Source organism: Homo sapiens, chromosome 20, assembly GCF_000001405.40.
Source record: "Homo sapiens chromosome 20, GRCh38.p14 Primary Assembly".
Lineage (NCBI taxonomy): Eukaryota > Metazoa > Chordata > Mammalia > Primates > Hominidae > Homo > Homo sapiens.
In genome coordinates this window covers 51,697,551-51,718,067 of record NC_000020.11, presented here as the reverse complement: position 1 = coordinate 51,718,067, position 20,517 = coordinate 51,697,551, and the positions used below count along the sequence as shown (strand labels likewise).

At 44.6% G+C, this 20,517-nt stretch overlaps 1 protein-coding gene across 1 annotated transcript in view, besides 9 other annotated features; it reads left to right on the top strand.

Moving 5' to 3' along the window:
• Positions 1 to 20,517, top strand: part of ATP9A (ATPase phospholipid transporting 9A (putative)) — a 171,877-nt gene that overhangs the window by 50,323 nt on the left and 101,037 nt on the right. The window contains exon 4 of the mRNA NM_006045.3: positions 4,994 to 5,102. Coding sequence (NP_006036.1) covers positions 4,994 to 5,102 — 109 coding nt within the window. The remainder of the gene's footprint in view (positions 1 to 4,993; positions 5,103 to 20,517) is intronic.
• Positions 4,624 to 5,134: an enhancer, noted in NCBI's record as "H3K4me1 hESC enhancer chr20:50329473-50329983 (GRCh37/hg19 assembly coordinates)". NCBI's record gives its function as "activates a minimal SCP1, AML or CMV promoter by ChIP-STARR-seq in primed H9 embryonic stem cells {active_cell/tissue: H9 hESC(primed)}" and the evidence as "EXISTENCE:reporter gene assay evidence [ECO:0000049][PMID:30033119]".
• Positions 7,030 to 7,575: an enhancer, noted in NCBI's record as "NANOG hESC enhancer chr20:50327032-50327577 (GRCh37/hg19 assembly coordinates)". NCBI's record gives its function as "activates a minimal SCP1, AML or CMV promoter by ChIP-STARR-seq in naive H9 embryonic stem cells {active_cell/tissue: H9 hESC(naive)}" and the evidence as "EXISTENCE:reporter gene assay evidence [ECO:0000049][PMID:30033119]".
• Positions 10,653 to 11,152: an enhancer, noted in NCBI's record as "H3K4me1 hESC enhancer chr20:50323455-50323954 (GRCh37/hg19 assembly coordinates)". NCBI's record gives its function as "activates a minimal SCP1, AML or CMV promoter by ChIP-STARR-seq in primed H9 embryonic stem cells {active_cell/tissue: H9 hESC(primed)}" and the evidence as "EXISTENCE:reporter gene assay evidence [ECO:0000049][PMID:30033119]".
• Positions 12,225 to 12,783: an enhancer, noted in NCBI's record as "OCT4-NANOG hESC enhancer chr20:50321824-50322382 (GRCh37/hg19 assembly coordinates)". NCBI's record gives its function as "activates a minimal SCP1, AML or CMV promoter by ChIP-STARR-seq in primed H9 embryonic stem cells {active_cell/tissue: H9 hESC(primed)}" and the evidence as "EXISTENCE:reporter gene assay evidence [ECO:0000049][PMID:30033119]".
• Positions 15,592 to 16,092: an enhancer, noted in NCBI's record as "H3K4me1 hESC enhancer chr20:50318515-50319015 (GRCh37/hg19 assembly coordinates)". NCBI's record gives its function as "activates a minimal SCP1, AML or CMV promoter by ChIP-STARR-seq in naive H9 embryonic stem cells {active_cell/tissue: H9 hESC(naive)}" and the evidence as "EXISTENCE:reporter gene assay evidence [ECO:0000049][PMID:30033119]".
• Positions 16,093 to 16,593: an enhancer, noted in NCBI's record as "H3K4me1 hESC enhancer chr20:50318014-50318514 (GRCh37/hg19 assembly coordinates)". NCBI's record gives its function as "activates a minimal SCP1, AML or CMV promoter by ChIP-STARR-seq in naive H9 embryonic stem cells {active_cell/tissue: H9 hESC(naive)}" and the evidence as "EXISTENCE:reporter gene assay evidence [ECO:0000049][PMID:30033119]".
• Positions 16,093 to 16,598: a biological region, named in NCBI's record as "Sharpr-MPRA regulatory region 2244".
• Positions 16,304 to 16,598: a silencer, noted in NCBI's record as "tiled region #2244; K562 Repressive non-DNase unmatched - State 21:Repr". NCBI's record gives its function as "represses a minimal TATA promoter and a strong SV40 promoter by Sharpr-MPRA in K562 cells {active_cell/tissue: K562}" and the evidence as "EXISTENCE:reporter gene assay evidence [ECO:0000049][PMID:27701403]".
• Positions 19,008 to 19,508: an enhancer, noted in NCBI's record as "H3K27ac hESC enhancer chr20:50315099-50315599 (GRCh37/hg19 assembly coordinates)". NCBI's record gives its function as "activates a minimal SCP1, AML or CMV promoter by ChIP-STARR-seq in naive H9 embryonic stem cells {active_cell/tissue: H9 hESC(naive)}" and the evidence as "EXISTENCE:reporter gene assay evidence [ECO:0000049][PMID:30033119]".

Sequence of the window (20,517 nt, the reverse complement as noted above, 5' to 3'; positions counted from 1 at the left end):
ACAGACATGAGCAGCCCTGCAGCCTCATTTACACTATCATTGGTATGCATGTTAGGAGGAGACCTTAGCCATGTTTGGCATACATTTTTCCTTTTCTTTCTTTCTTTTTTTTTTTTTTGAGACGGAGTCTCTGTCACCCAGGCTGGAGTGCAATGGCGTGATCTCAGCTCACTGCAGCCTCCACCTCCCGGGTTCAAGTGATTCTCCTGCCTCAGCCCCCTAAGTAGCTGAGATTACAGGCATGCGCCACCATGCTCGGCTAAGTTTTGTATTTTTAGTGGATACGGGGTTTCACCATGCTGGCCAGGCTGGTCTCGAACTCCTGACCTCATGATCTGCCTGCCCTGGCCTCCCAAAGTGCTGGGATTATGGGAATGAGCCACCACACTCGGCAATTATGACTTTTTAAAAATTTATTTCCACTGAGGCCTTCTCTGCCCCTACTCCCACCTCTGCTGTCTCCTGACTGGCCTGTTTTCCCTTTGACTATAGCTTAGGATAGAAGCCAGGCAGGTTAATAGCTTGTTTCTAGGTTTTGGCACCTCCAGCAGTTGGTCTCCACGTTGTAGACCCTTTTTAGTCAGCTTTTCCTGTGATGGCTAAGTTGGGGGATATTTGTCTTGTATTGTTGCCTCTCTTTCCAACAGCTACAGAAAAAAGGGTTTGTGGTGAAAAATTAGACAGCATCTACTTCTAGGTGACCATCGCTGATTTCCTTAATAGATTTTTATGTAGAGAGTCAATTTTCAGTTCTTGGCTAGAAGACATTTTGAAACGTCTTCTAGCCACTCTGAAAGTTGCCTCATTTCAAACCCAACTCTTAAGTGCAGCAGTTCTGAATGAGGGCTGTGGAGCCAAGTGGTTTGGGTTTAGATCTTTTTTTTTTTTTTTTTTTTTTGAGGCAGTCTTGCTCTGTCACCCAGGCTGGAGTGCAGTGGTGAGATCTCAGCTCACTGTAACTTCCGCCTTTCAGGTTCAAGCGATTCTCCTGCCTCAGCCACCCGAGGAGCTGGGATTACAGGTGGCCACCACACCCAGCTAATTTTTGTACTTTTAATAGGGGTGGGGGTTTCACCATGTTGGCTAGGCTGATCTGGAACTCCTGACCTCAGGTGATCCGCCCACCTCGGCCTCCCGAAGTACTGGGATTACAGGTGTGAGCCACGACAGCTGACTCTGAGAAGTCGTGTAATTTGAACCAAGGCTACTTTTCTGAGCCTCAGTTTTGTCATCTGTAAAAAGGAATGATCCTTTCTACTGCCTTGGTTTGTTGGGAGGTTTAAATGAATTACTGCAAGTAAAAATGCTTCATGTGGCTGTATAGAATTCTCAGGAAACATTCTGATTTTAATTTTTAAATTCTGCCACTAATGACATGTTTTTCATTGTTAAGTTTTAAATTTTTTGCCCCTGAGACAGAGTCTCATTCTGTCGCCCAGGCTGGAGTGTAGTGGCTCAATCTCTGCTTACTGCAACAATCTCTGCCTCCTGGGCTCAGACAATCCTCCTGCCTCAGCCTCCTGAGTAACTGGGACCATAGCACGAGCCACCATGCCCAGCTATTTTTTTTTTTTTTTCTGTTTCAGGTTTCTATTTTCTTTTGTAGAAACCAGCTGATTCTTTTTGTAGTTTTTGTAAAGATGGGGTCTCCCTATGTTGCCCAGGCTGGTCTCGAACTCCTGGGCTCAAGCGATCTTCCCGCCTCAGCCTCCCCAAATGCTGGGATTATAGGTGTGAGCCACCACACCCAGCCATGTTTTAGCTTTTAATAATTTTTTCTTGGTACTAATATGTTAGGGGAGAAGTAACTCAGGAGAGCAGAAATAATCTGTAACATTATATGATGACCAAATAAATGTGGAGTATTTTTGTTATTGAGATATAATCTATATACCATAAAATACACAGATCTTCAGTTTTCAGTTCATTGAGTTTTGACATTTGTCAGCCTCCACATAAATACCACCTCAATCAAGATATGGAACATTTCCATCACCCCAGGAAGTTCCCCAGTGCCTGTTCCTATCACCCCACCCGCCCCCACCACCCCAGGCAACTGCTTTTCTGATTTCTATCTCCCATAGATTAGCTTTGCTTTAGTGAATTTATTTTTGAGGTACAACTTGGCAAAAGAGGCTTGCACTTTCAGAGTTGCTTGTCTGTGAGTTGTCACTGCCTATGATTCTTCACCAGCTCCAACAGCTGCCTCCTTCAACAGCCCCCCTTCCCCTGCCCATTAAAGCTTCTTTCTAAATATCTGTGAATGGATATTAAGGACCTCCTAAATTGGATGGTTGGAATTTATTCCTGGACTACATTTGCATCTCTTTGTAAGGCAATTTCACCAGCCTGGCCAATACGGTGAAACCCTGTCTCTAGTAAAAATACTAAGGCATGGCGTGGCCCCTAGGATTAATGAGAACTGTGTGTGTATATGTGAAGGGAGACGTGATAATTTAGGAGGTGGTATTTATTTGCAGCAGGGAGGTTAGTGAGCGGCTCCTGTCTTTGTATGAGCACACACTTTCCATGAACATCAATGGGATTTAGCCAGGCCCACGCAGAGAGAAATAGAAACTGGAACATTCGAAAAAACAAACAACAACGAAAACTTGGGTTTTGGCACAGAACAACAAAATAGCAGCATAGTGGAGGGGGCAGCCCTGCACACCGGGTACGTGCTCCTCACAGAACAGGTTTTCTCTCACTCCCTATGTGGTCTGGTTATGCTTTGATTCTGAAATGTACCAGTTTCTTTTGGCTGCAGTGTGTACTTTACATCTGATTGGAAACAGGAGTAATCCTTTGATTGTAAAGATGTATGGGCATTGGGAGGAGTTTCACAAAGCAGCACATCTCTGGATAGATTTACATAAGAGATTTAAAGTCCTTTGAATCGAAGTTAATATATTTCACAGGGTAAACTATGAAAGTGAAATTCTCCAAGAACCACAACTGCTAACCCTTGGGTGGTTATGCTGACTGTATTTAAAAAATAACTGTCCTGGCAAGCTTTAAAAGGGGATAGGGGAAGGAATGACAAGGAAAACGAATGACTGTAAACAAGTAAGTAAAATAAATGAATGATTTTGGCTTTATTGATTACAAGAGGAAAAAAATCTAGATTGGAAGTAGATTCTGCTATGGGTGACTCCCTCCACCCAACCAGATATTATGAGTTGGGGTTCCCAACTCAGAGGAAAGTTGGGGAAGTTTAAAATTTTTATTAGTTTCTACTTATGCAATTAATACTTTAATAGAGTTTCCTTATAAAAACTTAAAACAGCTGGGCGCAGTGGCCCATGCCTGTAATCCCAGCATTTTGGGAGGCTGAGGTGGGTGAATTGCGTGAGCTCAGGAGTTCAGGACCAGCCTGGGCAACATGGCAAAAACCCATCTCTGCTGGGCGTGGTGGCTCACGCCGGTAATCCCAGCACTTTGGGAGGCCGAGGCGGGTGGATCACCTGAGGTCAGGAGTTCAAGACCAGCCTGGCCAACATGGTGAAACCCTGTCTCTAGTAAAAATACAAAAATTAGGTGGGCATGTAATACCAGCTACTGGGGAGGCTGAGGCAAGAGAATCGCTTGAGCCCGGGAGGCGGAGGTTGCAGTGAGCCGAGATGGTGCCACTGCACTCCATCCTGGGTAACAGAGTGAGACTCTGTAACAATGACAACAACAACAACAACAAACCATCTCTACCAAAAATACAAAAATTAGCCAGGCATGGTGGCGCACACACCTGTGGTCCCAGCTACTCCGGAGGCTGAGGCAGGAGGATCTCTTGAGCCCGGGAGGTGGAGATTGCAGTGAGCCAAGGTCATGCTACTGCACTCCTGCCTGGGTGACAGAGCGAGACCCTATCTCAAAACAAACAAAAAAGCCCTGTAATCCCAGCACTTTGGGAGGCTGAGGTGGGCGGATCACGAGGTCAAGAGATCGAGACCATCCTGGCCAATATGGTGAAACCTCGTCTCTACTAAAAAGACAAAAATTAGCTGGGCGTGGTGGTGCGTGCCTGTAGTCCCAGCTACTCGAGAGGCTGAGACAGGAGAATCGCTTGAACCCGGGAGGTGGAGGATGCAGTGAGCCGAGATCGAGCCACTGCACTCCAGCCTGGTGACAGAGTGAGACTCCAACAAACAAACAAAACAAAAAACTGAAGACATTACAGATAGGCTGAAGCACCTTTCAGTCCCTCCCTATCCTAATTCTAGTCTCCTTCCCGGCAGAGAAATCTAACCTGTAGTTAAGGAAATTGGAAAACATTTAATTGTATAGAATCTTTGTTGCTATTTATATGAATGGGGTTGCAGTGTATGTCCTGAAAGATGGATTTTTTCCACTTGGCTCTGTGAATGCAATGGATGTATCTTATTCTGTTTAACTGTTGCCTGGTGGTCCCTCTTACTGGCTCCATCCACCTAAGTTTCTCTAGATACAGTGGCAGTAAAGATTAAGATTTCCTACATTGCAGTTCCCATTTATCACTTAGTAGCTTTATGTCTTTGGGCAAGATTACTCAGCCTCTCTGTGCCTCAGTTTCCTCATCTGCATGGGGATCTCAGTTATAGGAGCATATCTCAGGGTTGTTATGAGGATGAAGTGCACTTCCAATACTGCCCAGCACATGGTGGGTGAGAGACAGTATTAGTAGTCACCATCGTTTGCTTGTGGAGGGACAGTTTGAGTATTCCTGTGTGTGTCACCCTCACCCTGAGGTGGTGAATGTGGACGTGCTTGTGTGTGTGTGGCAGTGAGTGTTTCTCTAGGGTAGTGTTTCTACAGGTTGTGTTTGGGAGTGCATGTTCCCTAAGACAGATTCAGAGAGGGGGCTTGCAGCGGCGTGTGCATTTGGAATAACTCACAGGTCCTGCCCCCCTGCCCTCCCAAGTGACCTCTCGCCTTTCCTGCCCCTGGCACCAGGAGGGGACGGTTGGCTGCAGCAGGGCTCACTGCCTGTAGCAAGACTCACTGTCGTCTGTCTCTGCAGGGCTTCGTGCTGGCCGTCACTGTCATCCGTGAGGCGGTGGAGGAGATCCGATGCTACGTGCGGGACAAGGAAGTCAACTCCCAGGTCTACAGCCGGCTCACAGCACGAGGTCAGCCTTCTGGCTCCTGGGCCACAGGGTTGCAGCTCAATCACGGGCCGCTGACAGTCAGGGGAGAAGAGTTCAAGGCCCGGGCCGCAGGTGTGGGAATGCCACGTGGCGGAACAGTCGCTTGGTTACTCCAGCACCAGGGAGGCCTCCATCTGCCCTGGATGACAGGTTGACGGGGTCCCACCAGGCCCTGGCAGCATCCACAGGCCTCTTGGTGTTGGTCTTGTCAAATAACTTATGTGTCATAAACCTGGAATTACATTTTGTGTGCTGGCATCCCAGCTGGCTAATCCCTTTCCCGTTCTGCCGCCTGGCTGAAGAGGGAAGTAGGGCGCCTCTGCTGTTCAAATGAGAGGCTGCAAACTGTTTTCAAAGATACTCTTTTGGCAGTGATTAAACTGTTGCTACTTTAGTTTTTAGAAAGGCAACCGATTTAGATAAATAACTGCATCCATGAAGATTTCTTTGAAGGCATTTTATAAATCCTGGAAATTGAGGCCTGCAGAGCATGGAGTCTGATCCAAAAATAAATGACCAGTTGTGTATGTCAGAGTTATATGTATTGGGCTCAAAAACAAAAAATTGAAATTTTGGCCCAGTACAGTGGCTCACGCCTGTAATCCCAGCACTTTGGGAGGCCGAGGCGGGCTGATCACAAGGTCCGGAGATCGAGACCATCCTGGCTAACATGGTGAAACCCTGTCTCTACTAAAAATACAAAAAAAATTAGCCGGGCATGGTGGCGGGCGCCTGTAGTCCCAGCTACTTGGGAGGCTGAGGCAGGAGAATGGCGTGAACCTGGGAGGCGGAGGTTGCAGTGAGCATAGACCGCGCCACTGCACTCCAGCCTGGGCGACAGAGCGAGACTCCATCTCAAAAAAAAAAAAAAAAGACCAGCCTGGCCAACATGGTGGAAACCCTGTCTCTGCTACAAATACAAAAATTAGCTGGACATGGTTGCATTCATCTGTAATCCCAGCTACTCCGGAGGCTGAGGCAGGAGACTCACTTGAACCTAGGAGGCGGAGGCTGCAGTGAGCCAAGATCACGCCATTGCACTCCAGCCTGGGTGACGAGGGAAACTCCATCTCAAAAAAAAAAAAAAAAAAAAAATTGAAATTGAAATTTTAATAATATTTCCCAGGGATATGAAAAAGCTTTAATCACTGACCCCCCACTTGCAAGATATGTGCATTTTAAATGCTAGAACTTAAAAACCCACTGAAACACACGGTGGAAAAGCCACAAAACAACCCAGCCATTGTTGATGTCTGTGTCTGACTACAATAGATTTACTGTAAGGTTGCATTCAGAAATGAGAGAATGTTACCTAAAGTTTGCTAATCTGGCCAAGGAAAGTCTATTCGATTGTCCCCTAAGATGACTGATCCCATTCAGGGATTAATGCTGTTTAAAGAGGTGGAGGGGAATAAAGGCTATGCCTTGCCTTCAGGAAATTGAGAATTTGGAAAGAGATAAGATGGTTAGATGCCAAGGGACTTAGCACCTGAGCCAAGGTCTGAACTGCTGTTTAAGTGCTTTATGCTTCCAAGGAAGCAGTCCATCCATGGTTCCTTCGGGGTTTTCAGTAGAGTTTTCCTTTTGGGAAAAATGTCAAAGGTGTATGTTTTGGGCTAAAAAAAAATGCAGATTTTAATTATATTTCCCAAGGGTATGAAAATACTTTGTTTTAGGGTATTTGAATACATTGTCGTGGTTGGTGGTCTTAAAAATATGCACATCTCTGGGAGAAGGGGGAATTTAGAGTTGGTAAAGAAATGCTTTATTCATGCTAAACTACTGTATTTAGGACATGTTGCTACCAAAAGAAAAAGAATCAGTGTAATCTTTGCAGAGGCAGGTGGCTTGGGCTTTCTGCGTGAGTAGTCAGAAGACCCTTCTGGAGGGCTTTTTTTGTGTGTGGTTCGTGTATATTAAATCCTCCCTTAATAACATATTCTTACTATAACATTTAAAACGCTTGGCAACCAACAAAAGCCCCATCGGAGAGAGTGCGGTGGATCTCTTCAGAGCTCAAGAGAAGAGGCCTTCGGATTCCATTCATTCATCCATCCGGGCTTCGACCCTCCTTTGGTTCTTTTCATATTGCAATTGCTTTTCCCGTGAATGATTTTTCTGCCCTCCACTGCACGCCCCTTCCCAGCTCTTGCTTCAACTTCACTCAGCTCTTGAGAAAGTCCTAAGGAGAATTGGCAGATGGCTCTAGCATTAAAAACTTGTCTTCCTTTGTGGGTCTCTCTTTGCGGCCCCTGGTGTCCATTGTTATGCCAATCCCACTCTAGGGAAAACAGAACACAGTTCTGAATATTAACCCAGACCCTAGCGCTGCAGTTTGTTGTGAAAGCCCAGCAAAACACTGAAGAAACTGTCAGCTTGGAAAGTGATCGAGGCGAGTTTAGTTATTTGATACGCTTTTGGGGGGAGGGCCAGAGTAGCAAACCTAAACTGGGAGATTGCAGGGAAGAGGGAGAAAAAGAAGCCTTTTTTGACTTTCCTGTCGAATTCCTTCATAATATTTCCTTGAGCAAAAACTTCACCATCTTCACTTAGTAAGTTCCAAAGCAAAATGAAATAAGTATGTATGAGTATATTCATGATGGACTGTTTTCTTTCTATCACATGAAGTTTTTTTCTTTTTTTTTAGACGGAGTTTCGCTCTTGTTGCCCAAGCTGGAGTGCAATGTCGCGATCTTCGCTCGCTGCAACCTCCACCTCCTGGGTTTAAGCGATTCTCCTGCCTCAGCCTCCTGAGTAGCTGGGATTACAGGCACATGCCACTACACCCAGCTAATTTTTTGTATTTTTAGTAGAGATGGGGTTTCACCATGTTGGCCAGGCTGGTCTTGAACTCCTGACCTCAGGTGATCCACCTGCCTCAGCCTCCCAGAGTACTGGGATTACAGGTGTGAACCACTGTGCCCGGCCTCACATGAGGTCTTAAAATGTTCTTTTCAACAGTATTTTGTGGGGTGAAAATGGCCAGGAGTCAGAATGCCTTGATCACTAGATTATAGACCATGGTATTTACCTACCTGCTACATCCTTTTATGATGAATAATAATAGCAGTACTTGTATTATTGTAGTTAAATTTTAAAATTTGTTTTTGCAATAATTCCTAACAAGCAAAAAATTTGCAAGAATTATATGGAGAATTCCAATATGCCCTTAACCCAGATTCATGAATTGTGACATTTCACCACAGTTATTTATTTATTTAGAGACAGGATCTCACTGTGTCACCCGGGTTGGAGTGCAGTGGTGGGACCTGGACTCACTGCAACCTCCGCCTTCCAGGCTCAAGCAATCTTCTCACTTCAGCCTCCGAGTAGTTGGGACTACAGGTGCACACCACCACGCCCTGCTAAATTTCTATTTTTTATTTCTAGAGATGGGGTTGCCATGTTGCCCAGGCTGCACAGTTGCTTTTTTTCTTCCCCACCGAACCCCCTCGCGCAGGCTGGAATGCAATGGCGCGATCTCGGCTCACTGCAACCTCTGCCTCCCGGGTTGAAGCGATTCTCCTGCCCGAGCCTCCCGAGTAGCTGGGATTACAGGTGTGCACCACCATGCCCTGCTAATTTTTGTATTTTTAGTAGAGACGGGGTTTCACCATGTTAGCCAGGCTGGTCTTGAACTCCTGACCTCAGGCAGTTGGCCCACCTCAGCCTCCCAAAGTGTTGGGATTACAGGTGTGAGCCACTGTGCCTGGCCACAGTTGCTTTTTAATACTTTTGTTTCCCCCAATGTCCATATACATATAGGTATATCTGGGGTCATTTGAGACAAGTTGCAGACATTCCCTTTTGTGCCTAAATACTTAAGTGCTTAATTCCTTGAAGGACGTTTCTCTTATATAACACAGTTATGTACAATTACCAAAATCAAATAAATTGAGCATCAATATATTGCTATTAATCTAATTTACAATCCTTTTTAAAATTTTGCTATTTGTCCCTAAAATGTCCTTTGATAGCATTTTTTTCTTAGTTCAGGAACAGACCAGGTTTGTCAGTTATATTTAGTTGTCCTCTCTCCTTGGTCTCTAGCCTGGCAGAGCTCCTCGGTTTTCTTTGTCTTTCGTGATCTTGACATTTCGAAGAGGACAGGCCAGTTTCAAGGCAGTTACTTTGTATCCTGTCCCTCCATTTGTATTTGTTGGATGTGGCCTCAAAACTAGATTTATTTATTTATTTATTTGTTTATTTATTGAGACGGAGTCTTGCTCTGTCGCCCAGGCTAGAGTGCAGTAGCGTGATCTCAGCTCACTGCAACCTCCACCTCCTGGATTCAAGCAGTTCTCCCTGCCTCGGCCACTCAAGCAGCTGGGATTACGGGTGTGCGCCACCATGCCTGGCTAATTTTTGTATTTTTAATAGAGACGAGGTTTCGCCATATTGGCCAGGCTGGTCTCGAGCTCCTAGGCTCGAGTGACCCGCCCGCCTCGGCCTCCCAAAGGTCTGGGATTACAGGTGTGAGCCACCATGCCTGGCCAGTAATTTTAAACAGCTGAATTAAAATCCTCATTAATAGGAACTCATTATTGGGAGGAAAAATGGATGACAGGTTTTTTTATTGTTGTTGCTTTGTTTTAGTTTTCAACATTTTAGATAATTTTATTTCAATCAAGGTGTATCATTTTTTTTTTTTTTAAATCATAGAGATGGGATTTCGCCATGTTGCCCAGGCTGGTTTTGAACTCCCGAGCTCAAGTGATGGCACCCGCCTCACCCTCCCAAAGTGCTGGGATTACAGATGTGAGCCACTGTGCCCAGCCAAGGTGTATCTCGAACAACATCAATTGGATTAATTTTTGATACAACTGCCATGGCTTAATAAAATGTATTTGAAGTACTTTGATAATCAAATTAGCTATCTACATGGAAATGACCTTTTAGTCATTATTTTAGGAAATATTTGGTTGGGCACAGTGGCTCATGCCTGTAATGCCAGCACTTTGGGAGGCTGAGGTAGGATTGCTTGAGGCCAGGAGTTGAACACTGCAGTAAGCCATGATCACATCACCGTACTCTAGACTGGGGGACAGAGCCAGACTCCATCTCTAAAATACACGCTACACACACACACACACAAACACAGTTGAGACTTCATCATGTACCAAGTCTATGCTAGGTTTCTGCATCACAGAGATGAACGTGAGAGCCTGGGGTCCCAGGAAGTTATAATCCAGTGAGGCGTTCAGGCCTGTAGACAGATAGTTACAAAAAGTGGAATAAGTGTGGTGATCCTCATAAGGAATGTCCCTTTTCTGGCCACTGCATTCTCGGTTCTGAGCATCGTTCCCAGGAGTTGAAAGTAGTGGCTCCAAACTTGCTCTGCCAGGGTTCAGGAGTCCTGCTTCCACCTGGGTAGATCCTTTAAGTTCTCAGTAAATGAATCTACATCAGGGAAAATAATAGCACCTACCTTAAAGGGTTGCTGTAAGTGAAGCTCTTGCATGGGAAGAGCTCAGCACTGTGCCTTGGGACTTGGCATGGTGGAGAGAGGCCAGTGTGGATGGTATTGAAGCAGGCATTTCTTAAGTGTCAGTGGGTGGATTAATGGAGGTATGAGCCAGGGGTGATGGGAGTCCATCAGAGAGAATCTGGTGATGTCTTTCCAGAAGAGGTGACCTTCATCTTGAGTCTTAGAGGAGGGAAGAGAGCAGGACTGGCTACATGATTTGTGGGACCCAATGCAAATGAACATGTGGGACCCTTATTCAGAAATTATTAAGAATCTCAAGATGGCAACAGCAGGGCATTAAACCAAGTACGGGACCCACCTGAACATGGAACTCAGGCCAGGACCCAGATGGCATGCCCTGGTAAAGAGTTCTCCAAAAAGAGCATCAAGTCGAATGCAAAGCTGCAGCCTGTGACGGCTGGGGTGGCAGGCTACAGAACCCCAGGTTCCAACAGCAGCTTGCTGTTCCCAATTAGGCGAAGTTTCCTGAGCCTCTCCAGAGAAGACCACACAGGCCAGTGAGAACCTGAGGCTATGGAAGGGTTGATTCTGTGTTTGAAGAATTCATATACAGTACAGGCATGCTATAGGAAAAAGGTGGCACTGAGCTGTTTGAAAAACTGCTGTTCAAATTAGGAAGCAGGAGAAAAAATGAAGAAAGGCTACCTGCCATCAGCTAGCCAGGTGCTAGATAAGGTTTAATCTGTAGTTTCTTTTCGTTCTTTATTTTTGAAATGGGATTTCACTCTGTCACCCAGGCTGGAGTACAGTGGCACAGTCACAGTTCACTGCAGTCTCTACCTCCCAGACTTAAGTGATTCTCCCACCTCAGCCTCCCAAGTAACTGGGACCATAGTTGCATGTCACTATACCTGGCTAACTTTTTAATTCTTTATAGAGATGAAGTTACCAGGCCAGTCTCGAACTCCTGGGCTCAAGCAATCCTCCTGCCTTGGCTTCCCAAAGTGTTGGGATTACAGGCATAAGCCAATGTGCCCAGCCTAGTCTGTAGTCTTCTAGATAGCCCTGTGAAGGTAGCTTTTATGGGTGTGGATGTAGGGAAGGAAAACATTTCTTTCTCTCACTCATTGCTAGGTTCATGGCTGAGGCCCCTATAACAAAATAGAGGAAAAGCATCCTGTCTTGGATGATGAGCTAGCAAAAGGCAGAGCTGGAATGTGAACCCAGGCTTGTTTGCATGTAAAACCTTAGCCTTTAAGTCAAGTTACCTACTATGTGCCAGGAGGTGAGCTCAGCACTTTTGCATATAATATCTCAACAACTGCTACAGCGTTCAGCCTTAATACATATGCTACAGGGGTGCTTTTAAGATTTGAGTCATTTTAAAACACATCTCTGAGTCCAAAGAAACCTATCAATCTAGCCTCCTCATTGTCAGATGGACAAACTGTTGAAAACCACATGGGGTAGTGCTTTTGGATAAACAAGCATCCCTTTCCTCCTACTTACAAATTCACATTTAAACATCAGAGACTTAAGAGCAGTTCTTAGACCTTTATGAGTTTTTATGGTTTTAATTATAGAGCTGTCTTCCTAAATTAATAGCATTCAGTGGCACTGGAAATAAAGCCAGAAAGGAGAAGATCTTGGAGATGTAGCAGACCCAGCAAAACTTAGTTTTGTTACTCAAGAGAATTGGGTTGGATTGGAAAAGAATAATTAGTGAAGGAATTATTTCTCTTTATACTTGCCTTCCCCAAACCAAAAGTTTAATGGGGGTGGGGGGTTGCCTCGATTATCACAGGTGGTGAGGAAAATGGGATTTGCATTTTCACAAGATGAATTCCATGGGTGTTCATACCAGGAATGCTTTCCCAGACTAACTTCTGATCAAGGACTAAATGAAGCAAGCGGACAATTAGCCTTGAAAGAAGTGCAAACAGAGGCATAATTAACACAATTGCTGATGCTTCTTTCCTGCTGGGGACATCTGGGCAGGCTGACCATAAGTCATAAGCCAAAGATCTATGCTCTTTTGCGTATCTTCAGCTTTCTCCTACATATGTGGTATAAAAAATCGACCTGATATCTTTCCTTTTCCACTTCTTTCTAGATAGTTGAGTGATGCTCTCTGCTTACTCTTTCTCATTTACAGAATCACCTGTAACCTCAAGGATCTCTTGAGTAACAAGAGACAACAAATTTTTCAGTGTAGCACAAAACCCATGTTGTACCATTATCTAGGATTGCAATTAATGTGACTTAAATTTCAAGACCTAAGAATGCACCTTTTTCTTTTTTGGAGTTGTATGTCATTGTGGTTAATCAGAAGGTATAATAATGTAGGGAAGGTGCATTCATTAATGGGGAATTGTTTAGCTAATAATTAAATTGAAACTTTATATTCCTAAACCCAAGTACTACTTATGTTTCAAAGTATAAGCTCTGTCCAGACATGGAGAACACTAAGATATGCATTATGATTTTTTTTTAAAGAAGAGAATGGTATGGATAGACTTTTCAATGTTACTGCAGCAAAACTGCTGCAAAGATCCTTCACTAAGGACCTCAAAGACAATTCAGTGAGCAAAGAATTCCCTTCCCAAATTTCCCTTGTCTGAGATTCAGAGCATCAGCAGGTACAAGTGAATCTTACTTATAACAGATTTTGCTGAATACTTTTTCATACTGCCTGGTACAGATATAAAGTTTTTTTTTTGTTTGTTTGTTTTTTGTTTTGAGATGGAGTTTCGCTCTTGTTGCCCAGGCTAGAGTGCGATGGCGCGATCTCGGCTCACCACAACCTCTGCCTTCTGGGTTCAAGCGATTCTCCTGCCTCAGCCTCCCGAGTAGCTGGGATTACAGGCATGTGCCACCATGCCCAGCTAATTTTGTATTTTTAGTAGAGACGGTGTTTCTCCATGTCAGTCAGGCTGGTCTTGAACTCCTGACCACAGGTGATCTGCCTGCCTCAGCCTCCCAAAGTGCTGGGATTACAGGCCTGAGCCACTGTGCCCCGCCCAGATATAAAGTTATTTAAGATCCACAAAGTTCAGATTTTCCTTTCAAAGTACTCAATTTCATTTTAGTACAAGTCATTGGTGAACTGATCTATTGTTTAATTAAAAAAAAAAACAACAAAACACCAGAAACTCAAACTTGCAAATTGCACTGTTATTCCCAAAAGGTATTTATTTCCCCCCTGTAAGGGTGTTCGTCTACTTCATCATTTCTGGGCACCATAAACCGGCAAGACCATTTATATATTTATTTTAAAAGCCACTGTTGGGTATAAACTTGTTACATTTAAACTGCAGCCTTTTTTTTTTTTTTTTTTAAGTTCCCACTATTTAAACAAAAGCCCCAGGAAGTGGTAGTGATTATTTATAATAATCCTTTCAACTCTTTGCCTGTTTTCAAATAACAGTCTTTTCTTTGGCTTTGGGGAATGCAGACAACTCTATTTGAATATGAAAATTTCAACTTTAAACCTCTGAACTCTGCTGGGTCTGCAGAGGCGTTTTAATGTCAACCTCAGGAAATGTACACATGAAGCAGAATTTACAACTCATCACTGTCACAGTTAGATTAGAGTGTGAGTTAAAGAGTAATACATTAACCAGGGTTAGTGCATGGAGATTGTTGTTAGAGATCTACAAAAGCAATCAGTGCCCTGCATGAACAATGAAAAATACAAGTATAGATGGAGGTGTTCAGGGTCAAAAAATAGGCCCACACATATTACTGCCCTGGAATTTATTAAAAAAAATTTTTTTGGTAGGCTATTCTGCAGTTTGACTGAATTGTCATTTGCTTGTTTCGACTCAAGGGAAACATCTGGTTTCTCCCTGCAATGTAGACAAACTGCTCTTATTCTGAAGCTGTCATCCATGAAAGGCATGGTTTGGGCTCAATAGGTTTGCTTATGAAAGGCTTGGGGGTCCATCGCTACAGAAATAAACAGCTCTAATAATTGGAAATTTGTTCCCCGTTACAAACTCTGATTGAGAGACGACTTGGGTGAAGTGGCGAAAGCTGAAAGGGATAGATTTATTAGAAGACTTTTAATGATTTAGGATGTGGCAGGCAGAGAATTTTCCGCTTAACTTTTGCAAAAATCTCTTACCTTTGTAGAATTTCTGCAAATGCGTTTAAAAATCTTGGAGCCTCGATATTGGAGATGGGGTGTTACAGGAAAAGTTCAGAGTTCTGTGGCCTCGGTTCTTAGGACAGGGCCAGGTTTTCCTGTGCACTTTATAAGAAGATATTATTGGGTGTTTTTACTTCCCTTCTGGACCAGCTACATAATTTGTGGGACCCAGTGAAAAATGAAAATTGTGGTGGGAGGTGGGGTTGTTCAAAAAGTATTAAGATCAGGTGGTTAGATCTTGAGTTTAAAAAAACACAAAACTGACCAAGAATTTTAAGACATTAACAGTGAAGCATCGCCCAAGCTGGGAGTGTATTGGTCCTTTTTCCATCTTAGGAGTCTCTGGGGAAGATGAGACCAAAACAAAACAACAACAAAAAAACCAAGGAGCGCTTGGGAAGTGTGCCTGCCGGAGGCCTGTTAGGAGGGCATTTTCTTTTCTGTCAGATCAATTGTAGGGAGAGTTCCTGCCCTTTTTTGAGATTGGTAATAATTGCTATCAATGTGCTATTTTTTCTTTCTGCTGTTACTTTCTTAGGAAGACAAGAACCCTTCTGTTAGGTTACTTCTCCGTATCTTGTTCTTCCCCTTTTTTGCAACAATGTTCGTAGAAGACTCAGAATAGTGGTTGCTGTGAAGTTAGAAATCATGTGTTTTGGGCCCTTTCCACACCCTTACCGATTTTTTCATTCTGGGAGTCAGTTCTGACCACTGAATGCCCAGTGATTCCTCACTTCTAACTTTGGTCTCTCTTTTCTCTCCCTCTTTCTCCCTACCAACTTGAGAGCTCCTTGGAGAGGGACATTTTAGTCAAATACTGACAGCCAAGCCTAGGGCCTGGCTGGTGGAAAACTCCCAGTAAATATGGGAATGTAAATAACAGTATCTGCTTTTTTATCTCTTTTCTTCTTGCTGCTTTTTCTCCTTTTCATTCTGGTTTTATTTGTATTTTCTCTCATTACATGCACACACACACACACACACACACACACACACACACACACGAACACACACACCATGAAGCATGAAGGCCCAAACTATGTATCTATAGATATTTAATTTTTTTTTTTTTTTTTTTGAGACAGAGTCTTGCACTGTCACCCGGGCTGTGGCACGGTCTTGGCTCACTGCAGCCTCCGCCTTTGCAGGTTCAAGCGATTCTCCTGCCTCAGCCTCCTAAGTAGCTGGGATTACAGGCGCCTGCCACCACGCCCGGCTAATTTTATATATTTTTAGTGGAGACAGGGTTTCACTATGTTGGCCAGGCTGGTATCGAACGCCTGACCTCATGATCCACCTGCCTCGGCCTCCCAAAGTGCTGGGATTACAGGCATGAGCCACCACGCCTGGCCTAATTTAACTTTTTTAAAAAATAGAGACAGGGTTTTGCCATGCGGCCCGGGCTGGTCTCAAACTCCTGGGCTCAAGCAATCCACCCGCCTCGGCCTCCCAAAGTGCTAGGATTGGGAGCCACTGTGCCCAGCCAAACTACGTGTTTTTGATCACCAAAAGAAAAGACAACATGGGGCAAGAAGTCCAAATTGACAGCACTCTGCAGTAGCTCAACAGAAGGGGAGAGTCTGGGAATCTGTGTTTGTTCAAGCTGCAGATCCGAGGCTCATCCCCTCAAAACACTGCAATGCTAATGAATGACCGTGGCTAAAAATCCCAAGTGACCTCATGATGGTGTGGCTCCTTGCTTCCTCCCTTAGAGGTGGAGCAAGAGCCCTGTTGGCTGATGGACAGTTGGGTACAGTAGGTGTGTTTGCATGAAGGATTGGCCTGCTGGGGTTACTCAGAAACTGCTCTGCAAACACAGAGGATTAAAGGGGTTTTTGTTGAGGCAGAACAGATGGACAGAGAGAGGCAGAGTTCAAATGAATGGATCATAAATCAGCACTCACTTGCAGAAGGGAAAAATCTGGGTCTGGTCACTTAAAAATTTGAGCTAATTTTAATTATTATTTTTTTCTTCTTAGGAAAGCAACCTTACGCTTAATGGAAAAACAATTCATGTGAAAAATTTGGAAAATATATGTGCCAGAGAAAGCCCTGCTGATCCTTTTAGTGAAATCTCCCTGATTTTGTCCTCTGTCCTGCTAATGTACACACATATACATAGGCAATTATTATTTAATAAGAATGAAAACACATGCTCTTCTATGAGTTAGATTTTAAGAGGGAACCTGTAACTAGAGCTTGAAGATCTGAACCCGGGTGTGATCATTTGGGCCAGGTCAGCAGCATAAATTTTAGTAATAAAACCAAAGACAATGTGTAAATTTATGTTTGGGAAAGTTGGGGCAAGCTCAGGTGAAGGAAAAGTTCATTGGCGCTGAGGGCCACGTTGAATTTACGGTCTTCCTTCAAGTAATACCTTCCTGAGCTCCCAGAAAAACGACAGGTCTGTGTTCATTTTTCCTTTTGCCCCCTAGTGGAGCAAGAAGAGTGGTTCAGGCCATGAAATCGTTCTGCCAATTAGACCGTCTCTTTACCCATTTCTCTCTTTCTTTCGCTCCCTCTCTGTTTTCTATTTTTTGAGACGGAGTTTCGCTCTTGTTGCCCAGGTTGGAGTGCAGTGGTGCGAACTGGGCTCACTGCAACCTCCGCCTCCCGGGTTCAAGCGATTCTCCTGCTTCAGCCTCCCGAGTAGCTGGGATTACAGGCGTGTGCCACCACATCTGGCTAATTTGGTATTTTTAGTAGAGATGGAGTTTCTCCATGTTGGTCAGGCTGGTCTCAAACTCCTGACCTCAGGTGATCCGCCCGCCTCGGCCTCCCAAAGTGTTGGGATTGCAGGTGTGAGCCACCATGCCCGGCGCTCTCTCTTTCTCTGTCTCTCTTTTTTGAGGCAGGGTCTTGTTCTTTTGCCCAGGCTGCCGTGCAGTGGCACAATCTCAGCTCACAGCAGCCTTGGTCGCCTGGGCTCAAGCATTCCTCCCACCTCAGTCTCCGGAGTAGCTGGGACTGTAGGTGCACATCACCACACCTGGCTGATTTTTTGTGTTTGTTGTAGAGACAGGGTCTTGCTATGTTGCCTAGGCTGGTCTTGAACTAATAGGCTCAAGTGGTCCACCTGTCTCAGCCTCCCAAAGTGCTGAGATTACAGGTTTGGGTCACTGTGTCCGGCCTCTTTACCCATTTCTAATCATCTAATTGGATGTTCTCCAGTCTCTCTGTAAATGTATTGACCAAAGCCCAAGACATAATGAAAGGAGGCCAGTGGATCTCTCTCTAGCAGGCCAGGGCTCCGGTCACTGAATTGAGTTTAGCATCACATTTTATGAAAATGAGGTGCCATTAGATGCTAGATGCTCACTTAGTAGGGTGAAATACTCACACTAGGAGAGTCCAGAAGTCTTACCAGCGATCGAGGGTTAGTTCAGCTCGCCATTGTTAGTTGAGTGCTTTCTAGAAGTCAGTAGTGTTGGCCGGGCGCAGTGGCTCATGCCTGTAATCCCAGCACTTTGGGAGGCCGAGGCGGGTGGATCACGAGGTCAGGAGTTCGAGAAAAGCCTGGCCAATATGGTGAAACCCCGTCTCTACTAAAACTACAAAAATTAGCCAGTCTTGGTGGTGGGTGCCTGTAGTCCCAGCTACTCGGGAGGCTGAGGCAGAAGAATCGCTTGAATCCAGGAGGTGGAGGTTGCAGTGAGCCGAGATCATGCCACTGCACTCCAGCCTGGGTGACAGAGCGAGACTCCGTCTAAAAAAGAAAAAAAAAGAAGTCAGAAGTCAGTAGTGTTTATATCAGACCTTTTGATGCCAGTTCTACTTATTGTTTAATGACAAGATTTAACGACACACAAAAATTAGTTAAAAACAAATCTTATGGAACCGATTAAAGAGAGTTGTTTCAATAGGAAAACATTGGAATGCTCTGAAAAATCTCAATGGTAGTGAAATACTTAAAAAATAAATGATATTAAATTATGTTAAAATGTAAAATATGTGAGACACTAAAAGTCTAGAGTTGTGCACTTATATTATTTCGTGTCTTTAAGTCTTTAAGTTCTTTTTTTTTTTTTTTTTTTTTGAGATTGAGTTTTGCTTGTGTCGCCCAGGCTGGAGTGCAAGGGTGAGATCTTGGCTCACTGCAACCTCCACCTCCCGGGTTCAAGCGATTCTCCTGCCTCAGTAGCTGAGATTACACGTGCCTGCCACTATGCCTTGCTAATTTTTGTATTTTTAGTAGAGACAGGATTTCACCATGTTTGCCAGGCTGGTCTTGAACTCCTGACCTCAGGTGATCTACCTGCCTCGGCCTCCCAAAGTACTGGGATTACAGACGTGAGCCACTGTGGTGCCCGGCCTATAATTACTTTTTATCTCTCTCTTAGCTGAACATTTGTAAGTTACATGGGCTTGTTACAAGATAGCAGCATCATAAAGATTTTGTGGTGTTGCTCCTGTATGTGAATTTCACCTATCACCAGAATAAATTCTCTCTTCCTCTCTGGGCTCCCTCACAGGGTGTGGGGCCACCTGGCCCCAACTGGCCCCTTCCACTTTCATCTCTCGCTGTTCCCTGCTTTCCTGATGCTTTACGTCTTGCTGAAGGAGTTCTAGCCTTTGGCCGTGTGCATGCTGTTAGCTATTCACCTGTCCCACTTTCTCACATCTCAGGGTGCCTTTCGTCTGTTATTGGTAAACACAGTGTCCTTCGTCTGTCTAATTCTGGCCTCAACTCTCCCACAGAGTTTGTTGACAGCCACCCCTCTGATTCTCCAACCCCTTTCATCCATTATTTGTTTATTGCCTCCTCCCCTCCACTGGAATTGAGTTTCACGTATCCCCAGCCCTTAGAACGCCTGGCATACAGCAGGCGTTCAGTAAATGCTGTCTGGCTGTTGAGACAGGGTCTCACTGTTGCCCAGGCCGGAGTGACATGATCACGGCTCACTGCAGCCTCTATCTCCTGGGCACAAGCGATCCTCCCACACCTCAGCCTCTCGAATAGCCGGGACTATAGGCATGTGCCACCACATCCAGCTAATTTTTATGTTTTTGGTAGAGACAGGGTTTTGACATGTGGCCAGGCTGGTTTGGAACTCCTGGGCTCAAGCCATCTGCCTGCTTCGGCCTTCCAAAGTCCTGGGACTACAGATGTGAGCCACTGTGCCTGGCCCAGTCATGTTTTTTGGGTTGAATGGAACTCACTGCTTTTATTCTGTACTGTGGAGTCAGATGCAGGTGTGAATCCCAGCACTGACCTGTTCTAACTCTGAGACTTTGGGGGAAGGTGGGACATCCTGAGTCTCCTTTCCTCGTCTGAAAGCTGGAGATGGAACTACCTTCTTCTGAGGGCTATTGTGAAGATTAAATGAAACCTTCAAAATCTGTACAGTGCTGAGCACAGAATTAGCATTTAATGTTAGCTTTTACTGTTTATCTAAACATCCAGCAAAAATTATATAGTCTGATCATAATCCTATAAATCAAAGCATGTAGCAATTATAAATTAAAAAGTAAATCAGTCATTTGGAATTAGTTAGCTTCTTTCTTTTTGGTGGTGTTGAAAATTAAGACTTTTTTCCCCCGGTACTTTGCATCTAAGTCACTGTTAAGTGGTGTTGAAAATTAAGACTTTTTTCCCCCCACTACTTTCCATCTAAGTCACTCTGAAGGCAAATAAATGATCTTTCATGAAGGGCTGAAGTTATTCCAGTGCCCTGTGAAGTGGGCATTTATTTCTGCAACGGCCTCTGTAGCGGTTGAACCCTTTCCTGGAGAGGCAGGAAATAATGGTGCTGGAGTCACTGGCAGCTGTGTGTGGGAGCGTGTACTTCTGGGTGTATTGTGTGTTTGCAGGCTGGGCA